We start from the raw sequence: 24,913 nt of genomic DNA on the forward strand, positions 1-24,913 counted from the left end.
CCAGGCATGGGCATGTGATCTATGCAGTTGCACAGAACCCTGAATTCAAAAGGACCCTGAACTGGACTTAAGGCTGCGTTGCCACCTTTAAATTCTACATACTATTTAAACAAGGGGCCCTCCATTTTCGTTTTGCACTGGGCCTCGCAAATTATCTAGCCAGTCCTGGTCTCAGATCTCCCACGTCTCAAGTCTTTTTTGAAGTCAGGCCCTAGTGCTTAATTGCCACACCACTCTGTGGATTGAGATTAGGTGTGAGGAGAGAGACAGAACATAGATTCCACAGACTCGTAATTTTGCTGGGTTCTCTCACTAAACCCCAGGAAGTATGTAGGTAGATTGTTAAGGCTGAGACCTTCTTAATATTAGGGCCGTTGAGCAGCCACAGTGGTTGGTGTGTGGTGCAGTTTTAAAAGTATGTCTCATCTCCTGTAGCAAGTCATTCAGGAAGTGTTGGTGGGGTATCAAAGAGCAATCAGGCAGTGGGGGTGGTGGGTAGGCAAAGCTGGGGGAAGCTGTTATTTGTGCTGCTGGTGTTGTTGGCAAGAATACTTTGCTTGCTGGAAAAGGCAAAGGGGTTGCACATGTTTAAGATGAAGATTCTGCCACCTTCAAACACTCCAACTGTGCTCTGAGAGAAGCAGCTGCAAAACCATTGCATGCAGTGGAAAGATAGGGAGGCAGAAGGTGTAGGTGCAAGTACTTCTACTTATGAACTGGACAACCTTAACGAGGTCACAAAACCTTTCTTATTTATTTATTTATTTTTAGACAAAGTCTCACTCTCTCACTGTCACCCACGCTGGAGTGCAGTGGAGTGATCTTGGCTCACTGCAACCTCCACCTCCCGGGTTCAGGCAGTTCTCCTGCCTCAGCCACCCAAGTAGCTGGGATTACAGGTGCATGCCATCACGGCTAGCTAGTTTTTGTATTTTTAGTAGAGACGGGGTTTCACCATGTTGGCCAGGCTGATCTTGAACTCCTGACCTCAAATGCTCTGCCCGCCTCAGCCTCCCAAAATGCTGGGATTACAGGTCACAAAACCTTTCTGAACCTCAGTTTCTTCATCCATAGAATGAAAATAATAATTATGCTATTTGTCCTGTTTGGTGAGCAGCAAATGATGTAATATGAGTAGAAATGCTTTGCTGATCATCAAGGTAAAATAAATGTTAGTTATTTCTGGAGTTGATACTGATATATTAACATTCATCGTATGTTCTTTATCATCACTTCAACAATTGGTACATGCCCTTTGGGCCTGCCCTAGGCCACCCTTATGATGGCGTTGGTGATGCCGGGGCCATACTGGAGCATATATCAAAAGCCATTTTTAAGGGCTAATTCAAGTAAAGCCTGGAGGGACAGTTTCAGGTACCCTGGATAGACTTTATTCTGCTCTTAAAAGATTTTAAGATTTAAAAGAAAGAGTGTCCATATCAATCAATCCCAATATTTATTTTTCTGGGTGCTAAAGGGACTCTAACATTATGTTATCACTGGAAGTGACCTTAGTAAAATCTAATTTCAGAGATAACTTGTGGCACAAAAACATCTTGAGGACTTACCATGAAATGCACTATGCTAGTCTATGGCAAAGACAGATTCTCTGCCTTTCGGGGGGAATTTGATACCCGGTTAGGGAAATAAGATACACACACACACACACACACACACGCACGCACGCACGCACGCACACACACAATTCTCCTTTGCAATATGAGATAGTGAATAATAAATTCAAGTGAATGGTAGAAACAGTGATTACGGTAGGAATTCTAAGAAGGGAGGGATTGCTGAGCTGTAGTGGTTAGAAAAAACATCTCAAAGAAAGTAGAATTTGAGGAGGATTTTGAAGGCTGAATAGAATTCTACTTGATGGAAAGGGAAAGGAGGGGTGTCTCAAGTCCTCGGATCCTGAACAAAAGTTTAGAAGCAGAACCTGTGATGTTAATTGGATGAATATAGATTTGCATATCAGAGTGGGGAGAGGTACAGCTGGAGATACAAATTAGGTTTAGATTTGAGACAGCCTTGAGTTTGAGGTCTCCATCAGAGGCAGAGGGGAACTATTAAGGTTTTTGCGAGTGAAGATTAAAATAATGTTTTAGTCATTGTAATGTAGTAATGATGTGTGGGGAGGAAAACAGGAAGGAGAGGCTGCATCAGAGAGGCCATTTAGGGATACTGTAGTCTTCTGGGCATGAACCAGGGGACGATAATGGGAATGGAAAGGAAGGGCTGGATTTGATGATAACACAAAGAAAGGCAAGAAATAAAGAGGCATCTGCTAGAATTCAATTGTTCATCAATATATTTTGAGTTTCTACTTTATGTCATTGAAAAACTCATAAAGTTTATGATGGAAAGAAGTCAAAGGGGGAAGAAAGTTTAGTGTTAGAAATATTAAACTTCAGATGATGGTGGACCATGTAAGTAAGCTCTTGGAATGATGGAAGATAAGGAGAGAGAATGGACTTGAAGTATTATTTGGGGCACTGTGGCAGAATCTGCTAGCTGTTTTCCAATATTTGTTCCCTCCTTCATTCTTATTAATAGAATCACTAATTTTTAGCAGGGCATAGAGCCACCCAGAGTAAAGACTATATTGTCCTGCTTTCTTCTAGCTAACGTTGGTCATATGACTAAGTTCAGCCCAACAGAATAAAAATGGAAGTGTTGTATATGACTTCTGTGTCTTTAAGAAGAGTGGGAACCTGGCATGGTGGCTCACATCTGTAATCCCAACACTTTGGGAGGCCAAGGCAGGTGGATCGCTTGAGTCCAGGAGTGCGAGACCAGCCTGGGTAACATGGCAAAACCCTGTCTCTACAAAAAAGTACAAAATATACCTGGGCATGATGGTGCACACCTGTAGTCCCAGCTGCCCAGGAGGCTGAGATGAGAGGATCACCTGAGCCCAAGGGGGTCAAGGTTGCAGTAAGCCAAGACCACACCACTGCACTCCAGCCTGGGTGACAGAGTGAGACCCTGTCTCAGAAGAAAACCAATAAATAAATAAATACATAAAAAGAGGGAAATTTGCTGTTTTCATCTCTTCCTTGCTTTTGCAGGCCAGAAGGTCATGACAGCTGGATCTTAGACAGACATTCTGAGTCATGAGGAGGAAGCCAAGTTCTGAGGATGGTGGAGCAGGAAGATAGAAGTTGGAACCCCAATGACCTTGTGAACTATTCTACTGACTGTGAACTGCCAACTCCGCACTTTTTTACATGAGCAAGAAATAAACCTCTTTCTTGTTTAAGCCATTCTTATTTTAGTGTCTCTGGTACTTACTGTAACACTGAAATCCAGCGGGTTTAGAGATCATCCACAGAAATGGCGTGGGTGAAGGAGAGGAGGGTCATTCAGGAAGAGTAAGCCTGAAGTCCACGACTGAGCCCTGCGAGAGTGCTCACATTTATAGAAGAGACACCATCAAAAGAAACAGAAGAGACCAAGCAGTAAGAGTGCAAGAGAGGCACCAATAGTGGGCCATATCACAGAGAGGAGAAAGAGTCTCAAGGAGGAGATTGCCACTGATGTCTAATGATTCAGCGTTCAACGGGATAAAGACTGAAAATGGCCCTGGGTTTGCCCGTTACGAGGTTATTGATGGCCTTTGAGAATGTAGTACAAGTAAGACAACTCGATGGAAGGCCAGAGTCTAGGGGACTGACAGAGTAGGTGGTAAAGCATGGAGGAAAAACTTGACAGTGAAAGAAGGGTGATGAGATAGGACAGTAGCTAGAAGGTCAGGTGAAACTAATTTATTTTTGTTTTAAAATAGAAGAGACTGGGGGCTGGGGGGGAGGAGCTAGGGAGGGTAAGCAGAGAGAGATGTCCCCAGTGGGCCTGCTCTAGGTTAGATGCTCCTGCTCATGGCCTCTCTGGAACTCCAGGTTTCCCTCTCATAGCACTTGCCACATTGTGTGGTGGTCATCAATCTGCGTGTCTGTGTTCTGGACACTGTGAATGACTGAGTCCAGGGGCCTTGCCTTAAACCTCTGGTATGCAGAACAGCACAAGATACACAGGCTACTAATGCTTGTCATGGAACAAAAGATGGAAAGGAAAGGGCAGGCAGTGGAAGCTGTAGATTTAAGGAGGGTCACACCCTCACCTGAAGTGGAAAGGGGAAAGGAAAGGATAAGTGAAAGAGCAAAGGTATTTTGAGATGTTATTAAAGACGGTGATAGGAAGAGGCTGCTTGGTGAAGTAGAGTGAGCATAGATTTGAGCCAGGTGGGCTTGTGCTCATGTTCAATCCCTGACATTTGCTGAGGCCCTGATCTTACTTGACTACAAGATGGGCTATAATAATGCCTGCCTTATAGAATTGTTTTGAGGACACATAGAAGGTGCTTAATACACAGTGGACATTTTGGAATAGATAGGATAAAATGGAAGATAGTCATTCTTGGTGGCCTTCATCTCTTCAGTAATGTAGGAGGGGAGACTAACTGGCAACAGTGAGGAGGCAAGAGTGGGACCAGCTAGGAGGTATACAGACTAAAGGTGCAGATTTTGAATCTAGGAATATTTGAACGTAGCTGTGTTATCTTGAGAAAATTATTGAAATTCACTGTTCCTCAGGTGCCTCATCTGTAAAGTGTGGATAATTATTAAATGCAATTGCGAAGATAAAGCACTTAGCACAATGCCTGGCACATATAAATGGTAGTTGCTATTATTTTGGTGAATGTAAAAATTGGGGGGGGGAATGTTACTATAAGGAACACCATAGGGAGTCAACAAGAGATTGATGAAGGGGATCAAGTGTTTGCTAACTACCCTTGAGAGCCCAGTGAAGAAGTGGTAACCCACATTTACAACCTTTTCCAAAGAGTGTGATTTCGTGACCTTCTTATGCCAGAACACAAATGGGAAAGGTAGGAGAAAGGCCATACCTCTAGAGGAGAAGCAAAGGCAAGAAAAGGCTGAAACCCTGGGGTGCAGGCTTAGATGGAAAAACCTGTTCACTGTGACTCTTAGGTAGCTATGGCAAAGAGGGAGCCCAGGACTCAGGGAGCAGGATGACCAGTGTTGAAAGAGATCACTGAGGACTGGTTGCTCACTGGAGGTTGCCTTCCCCTCCTGGATTGGGCTGGGGCACCCTTCCCAATGCAATACACCTTTCTGTGTCTAAGATGATAACCCTGTTTCCCTGGATGATCCTAGGGATATGGATGGATTTTACAAATGTACATTTCATGGTTAGGCAGCTCAAAGCCACTGACTAGAAGAAGACAATAGGGATCGTGAGAAAAAGAAGAATATTTGAAAAAACAAAAAACAAATAGAAAAGAATCAGAAACCCATATATATAGATTGTATAAAGATTGTTGAGGTATGAGGCTTTTAACTCATGAGAGGAAAATTCTTCAAGGCTGGGCAAGCAAAACTTACTGATGTTTTGGGTGGAATCCAAAGTCAAATATGGATGACAATGGAGAGGTTATATAGACCTAAAACCCCATAATTCTCCTTAGATTCTATTAAAAATGAACACAGTGTACCCTTGGAGTCTGGGGAGCTCTCTATTCTCCTTTCATAATCTTAACCATCACTACTAGGCTCTGCCTGATCTTCCCCTACTTCCCTACTCCAACCACATCAGCTCCCTCTGTTCTGTAAACAGGCCAAGGGCACTTTGCCTTAGAGCTTTTGCACCTGTTGTTCTCCTCTTTTCCTACCACACTCTTTTCAGCAGTCCCCCACTTTGTTCAGGGTTTTCTCCCAACATCATCTCATTAGAAAGAGCTTTCCTGGTCACTGTGCCTAAAACAGCAATCCCCACCCCATCCTTCTCTCTTGCCTTGCCTTACTATCCTTCTCTTCACTGCAGTTATCACCACTAAAGCATTGCCTGTGCTTATTTATTGATTGTCTCCCAACCCATCCCCTCAATACACTGCTACTATAATGCAATTATCAAGAATGTGAGTCTTTGTCTGTTTCAATCACTACTGTTCCTCCAAGAACTAGTGGATGATTATTAAATGTTTGTTGAAAAAATGAACACCAGCCTGGGAAACACAATGAGATCCCATCTCTATGAAAAAGAAAATAAAAAAAAATTAGTCAGGCATGGTAATGCATGCCTGTAGTCTCAGCTACTTGGGAGGCTGAGACAGGAGGATCACTTGAGCCTGGGAAGTCAAGGCTGCCATGAACCACGATTGTGCTACTGCCCTCCAGCCTGGGTGACAGGGCAAGACTCTGTCTCAAAACAAAAAACAAAAACAAACAAAAAAAAACAAAGCTTTTTTTTTTTTTGCAACTGACTCAATTAATCTTTTCCAACAATAGAAAAACAAGGCAGAAAATCTCAGCAAGAGAAAGAGTGAAGGCAAGAGAGGACTCTTTACTGATCTCTGGGTCTTGATGTGAAAGGTCAAGTATTTAAACTGATTATTAACAAGAATCAGATGGCTAACTGCAATTTCTTTCTATATTCTATACTGTTTGTGAAGAAAATTTTTTAGATCCACAAAATGGGGACCCACAGCATAGTTAGTAAAAGTGTCCTGAATCAGGGATTAGGAAACATGTTTGAGTCTAGGGTCTGTTGTTGACTAGCTAAATGACCATGAATGTCACTTACTTGCTAAGTCAGAGGGTTCTAGTTGGTAAAAGAAATAAAACAGAGCTGTCCTGCCACTTTGAGGAATTATTAGGATTAAATGACATGAGGGTGCTCTCAAGTGTGTGTACTAATGGAGGAGAGTCTAGTGGTCCTAAGGAGAGCCTTGCCTTGTGGAATCACCTGTATGTCACCATGGGTTAGTCACTGAGGCCTAGCCTGCCTGGGCTAGAATCCTGGCTCTGTCAGGGACTGGCCATGAACCCCAGGGAAAGTCAGTAACCTCTCTGTGCCTCAGTTTCCTCAGCTTTAAAATGAAGGTAATATTAGCACATTGGTGAAGGTAATAGTAGCACAATATTTGACCTCATAAAAATATTATGAGGGTTAAATGAATTGATATTTGTAGACCTCTTAGAATAGTGCCTGGCATATACTAGGCACTATATATGTTTGCTATGTAAAACAAATAAACATCTTCAAAGAGACTAAAATAACACCTCAGACAACTACGAAGGGAAAAATTAGAGTTGGGGTATTGGGGAGATGTTAAAGTCAGCAAGTAGCTATTAATAAGAGTGGAAATGGGGAAGACTGCACAGTTGCTTAACAGACACCTCCACCCCCTTACTTTCTTAGGATCCTCCAGACAAACATTTCTTGTTCTTTTTTTGTGGCACTAGCTAAACTTCCTCTCCTCTTCTCCACCCACTGCCTCCTAGAGTCAAAAAGTGGGGGTGGAACATCGCTGAGTATTGTAGGTCTGGGAGAGTGACCAGAGGTAGCTTTAGCATGTGGTGCCCAAAAGAGAGTCCATTATAACTGCTCACACTGAGTGAAGGGACATAGAGGGGAAGAGGAAGCACAGGGCTGGGCAGGCAGAAATTTTGTGTCATTCTCCAAAGCGACGGAAAGTCCTTGATCATGAGGTTTTAAGAAAAAGGAACCTACTACCCCCATGCAATAGTACATTGTTTTCCCCTGGGAGTTTTACTTTATATCACCTTTATTGGGATTTAGGTTTACTTGAATCAGTTCCTTCAAAACACACACACACACACACACACACACACACAAAATCTCAAAACAGACATGAGATCATAGCCATCCGTTTTAACATTGCTGCCCTCTATTAGCGTGTACTTGAACACTGAGTATAACAAAGGAAACAAGAGTACCTAGTCAGTTCCACCTATATCAGCCCCCAGCTGATTGCTCATACCTCTTTCCAAGTTTCACATAGATGAGCCCAGTGATCTCCAAACTTACAGGTCCATCCCTTTCCTAAGGTCCAAGACAAGAAAGGTTTGATTTAGGAATACTCCAGTAGCCTGAATGGCTTGGCACCGACCATCAGGCTCCTGTTGCGAAGGTGCTCTGGCTGCCTTGTTGGCCTCCATATTGATCTCCAGGACTGCTTCAAGCACTTGGAGCTGACAAGGTAGGCCTCCGCTGCCTTCCACTGAAGGCCTGAGTTATCACAGGGGGAACAGCTTTCCACCCTCTGTTTGGAAGCTGGGTTTTTGATAAGCAGTTTTACCCATATGTAATATATTTCCATTTCTATAACTGGATTTCTGCTTTTGAGCCCTTTTCTGAATGTCTGTGGTAGTCATCTGCTTAAATCTCATTCTAATACAGAGGCCTTGTCCTTATCTTGAAGACCCCTCAATGCAAGGACTTCAGATCAGTGGCAGGTTGTTTTGTCAGCATACTTCCACAGGTATGCTTCCTGTCTCTGAGCCCCAGGATGATGGTTGGGGTCCAGTTACCCATAGTGAGCCCACTCATTTCTTAGAATTTTAGGTCTCAACTGCTGAAATGCCCATGACCATGTTTAACATCCAACAAGACATCAACATCATGCTGATATTGGACTTTTATTTGTTTAAAGAAACTAATTCAAATCACATTTGAATAATATTAAAGTGAACGGTATTTGAAATATGTCTGGAGATGGTTGTTTGCTTGGGTATTCTGCCTCACTGCCCTGCCTAAACTTCCGTTATTGGCAAGGACCTGCCAACAGCTCCTTCCTCCTCTGTGGGTGGGTATAGAGAAAGGCACAGATTCTATCCGAATAATCCTGTCTTGACAGAAATAAATAAATCATCACTCTTTACTGACATATTCCCAAACATTAATAGTAGGGAGAGTAATTTACTCCACTTCAGCATCAATGTGGGTGGAGGCAGCATGACTCAGAGGTGAAGTCTAAGGACTCTGAAGCTTAAATTCTACTTCTTTCACTTTTTGGTTAAGTGGCCTTTGACTCTCTGTGTATCAATGCTTTCATCTGTATATGTGCACATAAACCGTATCTATCTCATAGTGTATTGTAAGGATTAAACAAAATAATAACTGTAGACTACTTAGAGTAATGCTGAATATGCAGTGATTGCTCCATAAATGGTTACTTATTACTATTATTGATGGGAGATAAGACAGGGAGTTGAAGAAATAGAAATACGAATGGGGCAGAGAAAAGGAAGAATTAAGAGTATGAGACAGTATATGTAGAGGGGGTGGGCAAGGATTAAAACTGGTGGACTCCTTCATCTCCTACCCTCAGAGTGGGAGTGTCTCCCAGGGTATGTGGAGAGACAGTCAGAGTCATGGTGTTTCCAAAGTCATGATCAGAAAGTTGGCATCAGAGCATAAGACTGTGAATTTTGACTCAGAGAAAACTTTTCCAACATGGAACAGTCATAAGTTTGCACACTCAGACTTTCCTTATGTCGGTGATTTCTGAGGGGAAATGGGGATTTCTCCCTGCATCTCTCCACTGCTTCTCAGCCTCTTCAACTGCTCTGAATTCCAGGGAAATGTGTAAAGTGTAGACTCCTAAGCCCAATACTGAATGTAAGGGACTACCTCTACCAGGAACAGCAGCAGGAGGAATTCATGGTATATTTTTGTGCTCAGAAAAGGTTTGCAGAATAATCCTTAAGAGGCAAACAGATAATTCAGTAAAGGTGGACAGTATGTAAAAAGTACTCCTGGCTTCACTTTTATAAAAACAAGCTCCCATTCCCCTTTCATGGATCCTTGATGAAATGAATATCTCACTCCTAGTTTCCTTTTCCAGAACCCAGACAACCAACACCTAAGCTCAAACTCCCACCACCTTTTCTCCTGTTTATGTTCCTTGGACAATTCCCTGACAGAGGAGTCCTGCCCAGGATCTCTGTGTGGTAAAGCCATGGCTCTTCCTAATAATGAATGAAAAGCGAGTGTGAAAAATAGTAGCATTAGCTGATATCTGTTAAACACTTACTATATTCAGGTACCATGGCAAGTGTTGTACATGCATTATCATCATTTTGATTCTCAAAACAATTCTACTGTATTAATACCTCCCCATTTTGAAGCTGAAACAAGAGTCAGAGGAGGAATGTAACTTCGTCTAGGTCACAAAACTTGTAAACAATTCACTACTAGCTGATTTGACAACTTTATTTCAGTTTCAGTAGATGAAAGAAGTGTATCCTAGAGCTACCTTTTATCTTAGCAGGTATTAACCTTTTGAAGAGCATCAAAAATTTGAAAGCAATGAGTGAAGAGGTCAGGTGGAGCAGAAAGAAGAACCAATGGGATTGGGATTAACCTTGGAATTAGAAAAACCAATGTCTATTTCCAGCTCTACCAATTTAGGTAGTGAAATTTCAGGTGAATTTTTAAACCCCTAAATCTTAATTTATTATTTTTCTTGCATAATGGGATTAATAACGTCTATCTTGCTCATCTCAATGGTTTTCATATGGATGACATAAGAATGTAGGCATAAACATTGTAGAATGTTTTGCAAATTAAGTGGTATCAAATGCTACCTTGTCTGGTCTCTCTCTGGAAGATTAGGGACATCCCTAGTACCATTCCTCATCTACTTGCATTTTCTGTCTGCCATTCTAGAGCGACCAGCAGAGGCTCCAAAAATTTGGTCTGACTAGTGGTTACAATCTCCATGAAGTTCAAATTAAAGGAGCCATAGCTTGAAATGGCCAAAGAAACCAGAGAGATCACAGTGCATTGATTCTACCTTTACAGAAAATCCAAACGTACTAGGTTCCCAGGGTTCTAACTCATGCCAGAATTCTGCTAGTGCATTTTCAGAACTGGCAAGAGATACTAGAAGTAGATCTAGAAGTTCCAAACATAGTAAATTTCTGTTAGAGCAATTGTTTGTATTTAAGGAGATAACATGTACAATGACACAGCACTCCCAGATCTATGTTAATGTTACAATTTTCTTTGTACAAATAACAATCAATATTCATGTCGTTCTTTTAGTTTACTGTTATGCCATAAGTAAGAAAAATAGGGTTTTTAATTCAAGTTCTCCAACTCTTTTTTGAGACTATTTGTAAAAAATGGGATAGTAATCTCTTCCTCATTTATTTTAGAGTTTGTTGAGGATAAAAGCAGAGTAATAGCTCTGTGTTTTGAAAATAAAGGGAGTTTATAGAGATGAGGCTCAACAATGATAACGATGAGTCATCCATCACTCTAACCTGATAGAACAATCAACTATAATTAGGAAAGACATTTTTCTCTCTCAAACGCCATCACAATTGAATGCCAAGAAGAAATTGCTTGTAAGTCATTCAAGCTTTTAGAAGATCTTTCTTTTGCCAGGCTTTTTGGGTGGGTTTACCAAGTGCTGATTCCTCTGAGAAGGATTTGCCTCAGACCTTTGGAAACTGAGATCTCCAGATCTCAGAAATATAACTCAGTAATATAAACTTTAAAGCTGAACCTAAACACTTAGGTTTGAATTTTAAGTCTCTCCCCAGCCAGTTGGATCCTGTTGAGTACAGTAGATACTGAGACCCAGGGTGTTCTGCTAAACACAGATCAAAAAGACAGTTCAATGTCTTCCTTAAGGGCAATTTTTAAAACTTTATGGAAAACTAGGAGGCGATCAGCAAGGGTCAGAACTCACAGGTTTGCAGGCAAAGGAGCAAGATCCATAGGTGGTGCTGAGCCATCTCTTTCAGGGTCTAACCTTCTGTGGAAAAGCACGGCACTGTTCTAGCAGAGTCAGTTTCACTTGAGTTTTCTTCCTCCTTTTTATAACGACATTTAAGAAAGGAAGTGCATGTTAACTGATTTAGTTAACATTGGTCTTTGTATTACTGTGCTAGTTTTTTCCAATTTAAAGTGCCTAGCATTAATTATTTATTCAACACATATTTATTGTGTGCCTACTATGTGCCAGGCCCTCTTCTGGGTGCTGGCAATATACAGAGCAACAAAACAATTGATCACCCTCCTTTCATGGCATTTATACTCTTTTTTGGAGTAATCAACAACTCTATAAGCAGTTCCAATTTAATGTAGTAAGCATTGCAATAGGAAAAATACAGGGAACTATGAGAGGAATAGGGGCATCTAACTCAGGCTAAGAAAAGTTGGAGTAGGCTTCCTAAAGAAACTGACAACCAACCTGAGACAGGCTCAAAGAATGAATTACCATTATTAGGCGAATGGCGGTGGGGGATATGAAAGAGGAAAAATGTTTTGACATATGGTAGGAGCTTAAAAAAACATAGCAATTAAAATTACATAATTATAGTTATATAAAATGATCACAAGTACATGATTATGTATTATAATGTATAATCAACATGTGATATTATTTAACATAATCAATATTAAGTATTATATTAATAATATATAATTATATTTATATATGATACAATAATATATAATTATATAATATATTAATATATAATATAGTATAACTACATACATATAATTATGTATAATTCCATGATATCATCATGAAACATTATGATTATGATCACACCTTATTAGGGACACAAAAAGTGTTTGATAAAAATGAAGTCAAAAGGGATTTTTAGACTATTGAATCTATTTTGCAGATGGAGAAACTGGCTCAGAAGGAGAGGAAGTGACTTTTCCCTATATCACACAGTGAATTAGGGAACTGAGTTAAAAGCCAGCAGTGTCACTTGGCAAAGACTGTGACTCCTGGGCATGAGAGACAGCAGGTGCAGAGGCAGGCTTAGGTGGAGTTGAGCTAGATGTAACAGGACTATTTCTTGTAGAGGGTCTTCATCTTGGTTAACAAGAATAAGAGTGATTGTGTAATGTGTGTATGGGAGATGTTGTCTGGGAATGGGGATAGAAATGAATATTTAAGTTTGACTCAGCTGTTTTGGGGAGTAATGAGAAGGCTGGGGACACTACCCCTGAGACCTGGAGGAGCTTTTTTTTAACTGAGACGAGTCCTCATGCTAGCTAGCTCATTCCTAGGTAACCTGGCCTCTAGAGTCACACATTAAATAATCCTGCTGATCATTTCCCATATATACTTACATAATACTGAATATAGTTGACCCTTGAACAATGCAGGGGTTTGGAGTGCTGTCCCCTCAACCAGTCGAAAATCCATGCATAACTTTTGACACCCCTAAACTCAACTACTAATAGCCTACTGTTGACAGGAAGCCTTACCAACAACACAGTTGATTAACACATATTCTATGTGTCATATACATTGTTTACCATATTCTTGCAGGAAAGTAAGCTAGAGAAAATAAAATGGTATTAAGAAAATCATGATGAAGACAAAATATATTTACTGTTCATTAAGTGGAATTAGATCATCATAAAGGTCTTTATCCTCATCATCTTCATGTTAAGTAGGCTAAGGAGGAGGAGGATAAGGAGGAGTTGGTCTTGCTGTCTCAGGGGTCCCTGGGGAAGAAGAGATAGAGGAGGTTGAAGGGAAGGTGGAAGAGACAGGCACAGTCGGTGTAACTTTTCAGAAGTATATTTAATTTTTGTCTGACTTTTTTGCTTGTTCATTTCTCTAAAAATATTTCTATATGGTACCCCTTCTTACTTCTACCATTTGTTTTAGTTTTAGTGCCTGTATCATACCATAGATGGGCCCATATCATAAAAGAAGTCAAAAGCGGTCCCGAATAGTCAGAAGCCTTCTGTCAGACTGTCTAATGTCAGCTTGTTTTCTGGCACTGCTGCTTCTATGTTTTCTTCCGCATTGTTTGATCCTGGCTTAGATGCATTCTTCTCCATCAAGTCATCTTCCATTAATTCCTCTGGTGTGGTGTCTATTAGCTCTTGAATTTTGCCAAGATTTATTTCTTGAAACCTTTTACCCCAACTTTTTTTTTTGCCATATCCACAATATCTTTCATAATTTCCTTGATTAGCTCTGTCATAAATCCTGTGAAGTCACGCACAACATTTGGACACAGTTTCCTCAAGCAGAGTTTATTGTCTCAGGCTTAATGGCTTTCACCACTTTTTCTGCAACAATGATAGCATCTTTAATGGTGTAATCTTTCTAGACTTTCATGATGGCCCTCTCCTGGGGTTGTCTTCCTAGGCATTGACAATTCTTTCCATAGAGTACGTATATAATGAGCCTTAAAGGTCCTTATGACCCCCTGTTCTAGAGGCTGAATTAGAAACATGTCTGGGGAGAAGTATACCATTTCAGTGCCTTTGCTGTTGAACTCCTGGGGCTCTGGGTGGCCAGGGGCACTGTCCAATATCAAAATAACTTTAAAACGCAGTCCCTTACTGGCAAGGTATTTCCTGACTTCAATGACAGGGTATTGATGAAACCAATGCAGGAAAAATGTTCTTGTTGTTCAGGCCTTCTTGTGGTACAATTAAAACACTGGCTGCTGGTGTTTATCTTTTCCCTTCAAGGCTCAAGGGTTAGCAGACTTATAGATAAGGGCAGTTGTGATCATAAACTCAACTGCATTTGCACAAAACAGTAGAGTTATTGATTTCTCTCAGTTCCTGTATATTTTTGTTTATGGTGATATGTAATTTACTGGAGAGATGAATTTCTTATGTGGAAATGGTATTACAAGATTTTTTTTAATACTGTGTATTTTATTTTACGTTTATGTAACTTAATTTTTTTATTATTCTACTTTAAGTTCTGGATTACATGTGCAGAACGTGCAGTTTTGTTACATAGGTATACACGTGCCATGGTTGTTTGCTGCACCCATCCACCCGTCACCTACATTAGGTATTTCTCCTAATGCTATCCTTCCTCTAGCCCCCCCCATCCCCCACAGGCCCCAGTGTGTGATGTTCTCCTCCCTGTGTCCATGTGTTCTCATTGTTCAACTCCCACTTATCAGTGAGAACATGAGTTGTTTGGTTTTCTGATCTTGTGATAGTTTGCTGAGAATGATGGTTTCCAGCTTCATCCATGTCCCCGCAAAGGACATGAACTCATCCTTTTTTATGTCTGCATAGTATTCCATGGTGTATATGTGCCACATTTTCTTAATCCAGTCTATCATTGATGGACATTTGTCCAAGTCTTTGCTATTGTGAATAGTGCTGCAAATAAATAAATAAATAAATATGTGTGCATGTGTCTTTATCGTAGATTGATTTATAATCCTTTGGATATATGCCCAGTAATGGGATTGCTGGGTCGAATGGTATTTCTAGTTCTAGATCCTTTAGGAATTGCCACACTGTCTTCCACAATGGTTGAACTAATTTACACTCCCACCAACAGTGTAAAAGTGTTCCTATTTTTCCACAACCTCTCCAGCATCTGTTGTTTCCTGACATTTTAATGATTGCCATTCTAACTGGCATGAGATGGTCTCATTGTGGTTTTCATTTGCATTTCTCTAATGACCAGTGATGATAAGCATTTTTTCATACATCTCTTGGCTGCGTAAATGTCTTCTTTTGAAAAGTGTCTGTTCATATCCTTTGCCCATTTTTTGATGGGGTTGTTGCCTTTTTTCTTGTAAATTTCTTTCAGTTCTTTGTAGCTTCTGGATATTAGCCCTTTGTCAGATGGACAGATTGCAAAAATCTTCTCCCATTCTGTAGGTTGCCTGTTCACTCTGATGATGATGATAGTTTCTTTCGCTGTGCAGAAGCTCTTTAGTTTAATTAGATCCCATTTGTCAATTTTAACTTTTTTTGCCATTGTTTTTGGTGTTTTAGACATGAAGCCTTTTCCCATGCCTATGTCCTGAATGGTATTGTCTAGGTTTTCTTCTAGGATTTTTATGGTCCTAGGTCTTATGTTTAAGTCTTTGATCAATCTTCAGTTGATTTTTGTATAATGTGTAAGGAAGGGGTCCAGTTTCAGTTTTCTGCATATGGCCAGCCAGCTTTCCCAACACCATTTATTAAATAGGGAATCCTTTCCCCATTTCTTGTGTGTGTCAGGTTTGTCAAAGATCAGATGGCAGTAAATGTGTGGTGTTATTTCTGAGGCCTCTGTTCTGTTCCATTGGTCTATATATCTGTTTTGATACCAGTGCCATGCTGTTTTGGTTACTGTAGACTTGTAGTATAGTTTGAAGTCAGGTAGCATGATGCCTCCAGCTTTGTTCTTCTTGCCCAGGATTTTCTTGACTATGTGGGCTTTTTTTTGGTTCCATATGAAGTTTAAAATAGTTTTTTCCAATTCTGTGAAGAAAGTCAGTGGTAGCTGGATGGGGAGAGCATTGAATCTATAAATTACTTTGGGCAGTAAGGCCATTTTCATGATACTGATTCTTCCTATCCATGAGCATGCAAGGTTTTTCCATTTGTTTGTGTCCTCTTTTATTTCCTTGAGCAGTGGTTTTTGAAGAGGTCCTTCATATCCCTTGTAAGTTGTATTCCTAGGTATTTTATTCTCTTTGTAGCAATTGTGAATGAGAGTTCACTCATGATTTGGCTCTCTGTTGTCTGTTATTGGTGTATAGGAATGCTTGTCATTTTCGCACATTGATTTTGTATCCTGAGACTTTGCTGAAGTTGCTTATCAGCTTAAGGAGGTTTTGGGCTGAGACAATGAGGTTTCCTAAATATACAATCATGTCATCTGCAAACAGAGACAATTTGACTTCCTCTCTTCCTATCTGAATACCCTGTATTTCTTTCTCTTGCCTGATTGCCCTGGCCAGAACTTCCAATACTATGTTGAATAGGAGTGGTAAGAGAGGGCATCCTTGCCTTGTGCTGGTTTTCAAAGGGAATGCTTCCAGTTTTTTCCCCCATTCAGTATGATACTGGCTGTGGGTTTGTCATAAAGAGCTCTTATTATTTTGAGATATGTTCCATCAATACCTAGTTTATTGAGAGTTTTTAGCATGAAAGGCTGTTGAATTTTTTCAAAGGCCTTTTCTGCATCTATTGAGATAATCATGTGGTTTTTGTCATTGGTTCTGTTTATGGGATGGATTACGTTTATTGATTTCCATGTATTGAACCAATTACACAATTCTGACTGAGAAATTAAAATTGGGCGAACTTATCACTCAATGAGTGCCAAAGTTGTTGCTCTCAGATCAGCTGAAGGCAAGAGCAAAGCTTTCAATGGAAATTTTAAAGAAGCAGGATGATCCCACTTTGAAAATGCTTTGTAGAAGCATTTCTTCAAAGAATTATAACAGGAGATGTAACCTGGTTTTATCAGTATAATCCTGAAGACAATGCACAATCAAAGGAATGGCCACCAAGAGGTGGAAGCTGTCCAGTCAAAGCGAAAGTGAACCAGTCAAGAGCAAAGGTCATTGGAACAGTTTTTTGTGATGCTCAAGGCATTTTGTTTGTTGACTTTCTAAAGGACCAAAGAACAATAACATTTGCTTATTATGAAAGTATTTTGAGAAAGTTAGGCAAAGCTTTAGCAGAAAAATGCCCAGAAAAGCTTTGCTAGAGTCTTTCTCTACAACAAAGCTCCTGCTCATTTTTCAATAGGAAATCTTTAGGATCAACTTTACTGTCCTGATTTGGCTCCTTCTGACTTCTTTTTGTTTCCTAATCTTTAAAAAATCTTTAAAGGACACCCATTTTTGTTCAGTTAATAATGTAAAAATACTACATTAACATAGTTAAGTATCCAGGACACTCAGTCCTTCAGGGATGTTCTAAATGGTTGGTATCATCACTTTCAAAAGTGTTTTGAACTTGATGGAGCTTCTATTGAGAAATAAAGTTTACATTTTTAGTTTTTCTTTTTAAATTTCATTTTTCATAAATGTTTGAAGTCTGAGATTGAAGAGATTGGTATTTCTGGACAGAAATAAAAACCCAGAAAGGAACCAAATGAAAGTTCTAAATTGGTTCCAGCATTTAGGTTTGCAACAAGAAAACATATACTAGTTTTATTCTTGTTCTTTAACTTTTCCATCTGGAAACACTTAAGATTTTCCCTTTATCACAGAAATTCAAGATTTTACAAGGATGTGTCCTGGTGTGTTTGCATGGCATATTTCTGGCTGGAATCAGTTGTATTTTCAGTCTGATGGTTCAAATCTTTCTTTATCAAAGGGAATTTTTCTTCTGTGTCTTTGATTATGGCTTCCTTTTTGGCCTTTCTACTTGCTCTTCCTAAAAGTCCTCCTAAATATTTAAAGCTATCCTCTATATTGCTGAATTAATATCTCCTGATTTTCTCTTTGTCTTCTTGCTTTACATACTGATAGAGTTCCTTATAGACACCCTATAGAATGTCTTCCAAACATGGGTTCTCAGCTATGTTTACAGTTTTCAGCTATTTGCTTGAGTTTTAAACTTTGGTAATACGCTTTCATTTCCAAGTCTTTTCATAGTCTTCAGTTGTACCTGATTCATAATTATCTTTAATTCCATGTTGAAAAATTCTCTATACTAGATAAAGGGTAAATTAAAAAACAAAACATAAGAATAAAACTCTGGAAAACAACTATAACTGAAAGAAAAGAGAAGAAAGAAAGAATTATTAAAGCAATAGGAGGAAAACAGGAGAGTTGATGTCATGAAAGCAAAACAACGAAGGGTTTGAATAAGAGAAATATGAAAACATTTTTAATTCTGCAAATAATTAAAAGGGAAATGAAAGAGTACATGCAATTTTTGTAGTGTCAAGCAAAGTTTAGGCTCTGAACAAGCAATACAAAAAACCAAATAGCATAAAAAGACTCCAAAAACGTTTGCCTCTGTGACCAAAGCTTTGAGCTTTACAATAAAACCATCAGGATGAATAAGCTAACTACTCTGATTTGATCACTATAAATTATATATATCAAGACATCACTATGTAACTCATGAATATGTACAATTATTATTTGTCAATTTAAAAAATTAATTAAATCTTTAAAAAAGAAGATTACACACTCTCAAGTGTTGGAGTCACAAAACTTGAGTTTCAAATTCAGTTTTCCTACTTATTGAGTGGAATACTTGTATTAATATCAGGTGGTCAAGTTGAATACTTGTCTCAATATCAGGTGGTCAAGTTGAATAACCTGTGAATTCTTTTTTTTTTTTTTTTTTTGACAGAGTTTTCGCTCTTGTTGCCCAATGCAATGGCACAGTCTCGGCTCGCTGCAACCTCTGCCTCCCAGGTTCAAGTGATTCTCCTGCCTCAGCCACTCGAGTAGCTGGGATTACAGGTGCACACCACCATGCCCAGCTGATTTGTGTATTTTTAGTAGAGACAGGGTTTCACCATATTGGCCAGGATGGTCTTGAACTCCTGACCTCAGGTGATCCACCTGCCTCGGCCTCCCAAAGTGCTGGGATTACAGGCATGAGCCACCCCGCCCGGCCTGATTTCTTATCTAAAGTTTATTTAGGATAATTGAATGGGAAAACAAATTTAAACTAACTAATACAGGAATCATCAAAATACAGCCTTTCTGCTGCCTGTTTCTGAATGTAAAGTTTTGTTTGTTTGTTTGTTTTTGAGACCGAGTCTCACTCTGTAGCTCAGGCTGGAGTGCAGTGGCGTGATCTCGACTCACTGCAACCTCTGCCTCCTGAGTTCAAGCGATTCTCCTGTTTCAGCCACCCGAGTAGCTGGAATTACAGGCATGCACCACCACACCCAGCTAATTTTTGTATTTTTAGTAGTGACAGAGTTTCACCATGTTGTCCAGGCTGGTCTGGAACTCCTGACCTCAGGTGATCCACCCACCTCGGCATCCCAAAGTGCTGGGATCACAGGCGTGAGCCACCGCGCCCAGCGTATAAATGTAAAGTTTTATCGGAACATTAAAAAAAAAACAAAAAACAAAACCGAAAAAACAAAAAAAAACCTGTCATGAGAAAAGTGAAGGGAGGAAACCACAGTTTAGATGAGAACCAATATAAAGTTATAAGATGGCACTGTGATGCAAGTAAATGAAGGCTTGGGAGAAAAGGGGAAGGATCACTGCCCCCACCCCTCAACTGTGCCACCCTGATCAGGTTTCTTAACTGTTCTAAGTGTTGTTTTCCTCATCCGTAAAATAAGAATTGCCATATTAGCGTGTTAAGTTTGTTTTGAGTATTAAATGAGAATGTCTGAAAACACTTAGCAAAGTGCTTGGCACATTATAAGCTTTTAATAAATGTTCATTCTTAATAGTATTATCACTAATAGGTTAATTATAATACACCATTTGGACATTAATGATCTGGAAAACTATCCACCAGAGGGCAACAGATTGTAAAAGACTGGGCACGGAACAATAAGACAGACAAAATTATGATTTATTGAGTACTAGGTTTGTTTCCAGGGCTATGTTCAACACTTCCATATGACAAACAGTGAAAGAATTGGGATTCATTGGCCCGGAAAAGAGAAAACCTAGTGAGGGGGCTGTGATTAAGGCATCATGTGGATCAGTGTGATAATTACAGCCAGGTATTTGAAATGCTGGTGTTTGGTGTCAAGGGGTCTCCATGGACAGAACTAGTAAACCATAAATGTTGCTCCAGGAAAGTAGAGCATTTCAACCTACAGATTTCCCCCTAACAATTGTCATCCCGGAATCAACAGTTAAAGCCAAGACTGGATGGACCTTTGACATATATGTTATTGTGGGAATTTCTCATTGTGTAGTTGAATCTTGAATGTCCAAAAACAAACACGGTCTCGCTCTGTTGTTCAGGCTGGAGTGCACTGGCATGATCTCGGCTCACTGGAACCTCTGCCTCCTGATTCAGGCGATTCTCCTGCCTCAGCTTCCTGAGTAGCTGGGATTACAGATGTGCACCACCACATCCGGCTAATTTTTGCATTGTTAGTAGAGATGGGGTTTCGCCGTGTTGGCCAGGCTAGTCCTGAACTCCTGATCTCAGGTGATCTGCCCACCTCGGCCTCCTAAAGTGTTGGGATTACAGGCATGAGCCACTGCGCCCAGCCAAAATGTTTTCATTCTTATGCAGTTTTCTCAACTACCTAGTGTATGGGGTCATGAACTTAGAGGTTATTTATCTAATGGATTGTGCTTTTCTAGTTGACTCAAAAACACGATCAGCAGCAGCATGTGAGTAACCTAACATGATAAATATCAGGACGGGAAGGGCTAAATTTTGTGACAATTTTGGTATTCTCAACATGCAAGCTGAATTGAAGGACCTAATTACTTTCTCTGTATCAGCATAAGGAAATCTATTTTGGGGTAATGTAAAACAAAGAAGCTTGGATTTAACTGTTGGTCAGAAAGACCATGAAATGTCAGCTAAGGCTTACTGGCATTTTCTCCAATTACTTAGGGAAAACAATGAAAAGAACAGCAAGTCCCCTACACACACACACACACACACACACACACACACACACAAACACATATGCGCACACACATTTCTTAGGTTATTTGCTCAGAGACAATTATTAGCATCTAATCCATATCTTCAAAGCATAGAGAAAGGTTCTGCTTTTAAATAAAAACATTTTTCCCTTCCTTCTTCCTTCTCTTGCTTCCTCTTTTTCATTCCTATTTTTTCAAAACTGATTTGAAAAGAAGATAACCAAATTAATAAGACTCATGTTAGTTTAAAAAGACATTCTTAATAATTCCAGTAATCTTGTATAGAGAGATATAGCTGAAAAACTAATACAACTATGTACCAGAATTATACTATTTTTGTTATTCTATTTATGTTACTATTTATGCTTACAAAAAAGACAAATAAAGATCTAATAATATGGGAATTAAGCAGAATAAGGAAGAGAAAAACTAACGTGTCTACCAGAAGGTTGCAACTGTGGCTTTGAATGAAAAGTCAATCTTCTGGTTAGTTGGACTCTATCCCTTTACCTCCATCCTGCATCATCAATTGCTGCCTCATTACTGGGCAACAACACAAACACACATAGATATATACTTTATAACCTAGTTGCAAAAATAATATCTCCTGACCTCGCTTCTTCCACTATACACTGTCTCATTTTCTTTGCTCTTATTAAAAGCAAAACATATTAAAAAATAAATATATTGTCATCTCTCCACTTCCTTACTTCACTTTATTTTATTTTTAGCCTTCTCCAATACAGCTCCTGAGTCCACTAAGGCTCCTTCTATCAAGTTTATCAGTGATCTCTATAGAACTCTATTGGTCAGTTCTTTATTCTCCTCTTTCTAGAGTAAATATAATTTTTTTTCTTTTTTTTGAGACAGAGTCATGCTCAGTCACCCAGGATGGAGTGCAATGGTGTGATCTTGGCTCACTGCAACCTCCACCTCCCATGTTCATGTGATTCTCCTGCCTCAGCCTCCTCAGTAGCTGGGACTACAGGCACCCGCCACCACACCTAGCTAATTTTTGTATTTTTAGTAGAGACAGGGTTTCACCATGTTGGCCGGCTGGTCTCAAACTCCTGACCTCAGGTATCCACCTGCCTTGGCCTCCCAAAGTGCTGGGATTACAGGAGTGAGCCACTGTGCCTGGCCTAGAGTAAAGATATAATTTATTATCCAAACAAGGAGATGTTTGGGATAAAGAAGCACTAGACTAATTGTTATTTGATTTTTTGAAATATTAATATATTGGGTGAAAAATATATTTTTATTAAATTGGTAAACTGGTAAAATAGTTTTATTAAAGACATTTTCATAAATAAAATTATTTCTAAAAATAAACATAAAATATATTTATGTTTATTGAGGTAAGATCAAAATTTTATTTATTACTACTTATATATTAAACTATATTTATATTATTGGTCATCTGCACATCAACAACAACATAATTAGAATAATTATTCCTGGTACATAGGCACACAGTTGCAGTTTTTTAGCCGTATCTGTCTCTCATACAAAGTCACTGGATTATTTTTCTAAAAATGTACTTTTTAACTAACTTTGATCTTATTACTTTAATTATCTTATAAAATTACCTGTAAGCTTCTTCAAATTTGCGTTTTGTGGTTATTTAATGGCAGCCACCATTCTGTGGTGAGCTAGATTTTCCACTTGCCTTGCAGAGCCCTTCACCCTCCTGCAGACTAAGTAGCTGGTGCCTGGTGTGTGAGGAAGCATGGTGGCTGGAGCCAAGGTCACAGTTGCAGAGGCAGTGGTGCAGCCTATAGCCAGGGCTTGGGGAGAGATAACTTTGCTGGACAAATGTATTGGTGCCTTAAATGGCTCTTCTTTATAGACTCAATATTTTAAATTGAGAAACTAATTTCTCTGTAAGTGCTGGGGTACTTGGTAAGCTCCGAGTAAATTCTGCTAAACGGAAGATATTCTGTATTTTAGTCTGTTTGGGCTGCTATAACAAAATACTATAAACCGAGTGGCTTGTAAACAACAAACATTTACTTCTCACAGTTCTAGAGGTTGGGAAGTCCAAGATAGGGGTTGGCAGATTCAGTGCCTAGTGCAAGCCTATGTTCTCATAGAAGACACCTTCTCTCTGTGTCCTCACATGGTAGAGGAGAAGAGCTAGCTTTCTGGGGTCTCTTTTATCTATTTTTTTAAAGTTTTATTTTATTTTAAATTGACAAATAATAATTATATATATTATAAAGTACAATGTGGTGTTTTAATACATATATACAATATGGAGTTATGAATTTAGGCTAATTAGCATATCCGTCACCTCAAATATTTATCATTTCTTTGTGGTGAGAACATTTGAAATCCTGTTTTAGCTATTTTGAGATAAACAATATATTATTATTATTATTATTATTATTATTTTTGAGATGGAGTCTTGCTCTGTTGCCCAGGCTGGAGTACAGTGACACAATCTCAACTCACTGCAAGCTCCGCCTTCCAGGTTCACGACATTCTCCTGCCTCAGCCTCCTGAGTAGCTGGAACTACCTGCTCCCGCCACCACGCCCGGCTAGTTTTTTGTATTTTTAGTAGAGACGGGGTTTCACCGTGTTAGCCAGGGACAATATATTATTATTATAGTCACTGTGCTGTGCAATAGAGCACCAGAATTTGTTACTGCTAACTAAAACTTTGTTCCCATTGACCAACGTCTTCCTTTTCCCCATCAACCCCCACAATCCCCAGACTCTGATAACCACTATTCTACTCTCTACTTCTATGAGTTCACCTTTTTTAGATTCCACATACAAGCGAGATCATATGGTATTTATCCCTCTGCACCTGGCTTATATCACTTAACATAATGTCCTCTAGGTTCATGACAGAATTTTCTGTTCTTTTGGTTTTGTTTGTTTTTTGGGGGGTGGAATAGTATTCTATTGTGTATATGTAGCACATTTTAAAAATCTGTTTGTGCACTGATGGACACGTAAGTTGTTTCCATATCTTGGATATTGTGATCAGTGCTGCAATGGATATGGGAATGCAGACATCTCTTTGATATACTGATTTCAGTTCCTTTGAGTATGTGCCCAGTAGTGAGATTGCTGAATCATGTGTTAATTTTCTATTTAGTTTTTTTGAGGAACCTTTATACTGTCTTCTAAAATGGCTGGAGAAAAAATTTACAATACCACCAACAGTGTATAAGTATTCCCTTTTTCTACATCCTTGCCAACACTTATCTTTCATCTCTTTGGTAATAGCCAATCTAACAGGTATGAGGTGATTGCTCATTTTGTTTTTAACTTGCATTTCTCTTATGATGAGAGATGTTATGTGGTTTTTCATGTATCTGTTGACCATTTGTATGTCTTTTTTAAATAAATGTCTACTCAAGTCATTTGCTCATTTTTAGTAGGCTTATTTGTTTCTTGTTATTGAGTAGTTTGAGTTCCTTATATATATTTTGGATTATTAACCCCTTATCCAATGTATGTTACCAATATATTCTCCCTATCTGTGGTTTGTCTCTTCACTCTGTTAATTGTTTCCTTTGCTGTGCAGAAGCTTTTTAGTTTGATGCAATCCCATTTATTCATTTTTGCTTTTGTTGCCTATTCTTTTGGTATCATTTCTAAGATATCACTGCCCAGGCCAATATTAAGGAGCATTTTCTCTATGTTTTCTTCTATTAGTTTTAGAGTTTCAGGTTTTACATTTAAGTCTTAATCCATTTTGAGTTGATTCTTACATAAGGGGTGAGATAGGGTTCATTTTCATTCTTCCGTAAGTAGATATTCAGTTTCCCAACACCAT

General features: G+C 39.3%; 1 protein-coding gene and 1 long non-coding RNA gene across 8 annotated transcripts in view, besides 1 other annotated feature; one reads left to right on the plus strand and one right to left on the minus strand.

The window, feature by feature from the left end:
* The window catches only part of CD84-AS1 (CD84 antisense RNA 1), a 34,038-nt gene extending 30,769 nt beyond the window's left edge, over window positions 1-3,269 (plus strand). Inside the window, exon 2 of the long non-coding RNA NR_188634.1 lies at window positions 3,075-3,269. This is a non-coding gene — a long non-coding RNA (CD84 antisense RNA 1). The remainder of the gene's footprint in view (window positions 1-3,074) is intronic.
* The window catches only part of CD84 (CD84 molecule), a 38,399-nt gene extending 26,767 nt beyond the window's left edge, over window positions 1-11,632 (minus strand). For all 7 annotated transcript variants that reach the window (XR_921991.4, NM_001184882.2, XM_011510095.3 and 4 more), the window contains exon 1: window positions 11,528-11,632. Coding sequence is in view for 6 of the 7 variants with exons in the window: in NM_001184882.2 (NP_001171811.1) it covers window positions 11,528-11,573 (46 nt within the window). In the remaining variant the exon portion in view is untranslated. The remainder of the gene's footprint in view (window positions 1-11,527) is intronic.
* Window positions 8,002-8,051: an enhancer, noted in NCBI's record as "active region_1934". NCBI's record gives its function as "activates an Ori minimal core promoter by ATAC-STARR-seq in GM12878 lymphoblastoid cells {active_cell/tissue: GM12878}" and the evidence as "EXISTENCE:reporter gene assay evidence [ECO:0000049][PMID:35858748]".
* Window positions 11,633-24,913: the final 13,281 nt, after the last annotated feature.

The sequence above is a fragment of the Homo sapiens genome, chromosome 1, assembly GCF_000001405.40.
Source record: "Homo sapiens chromosome 1, GRCh38.p14 Primary Assembly".
NCBI classification, from domain to species: Eukaryota; Metazoa; Chordata; class Mammalia; order Primates; family Hominidae; genus Homo; species Homo sapiens.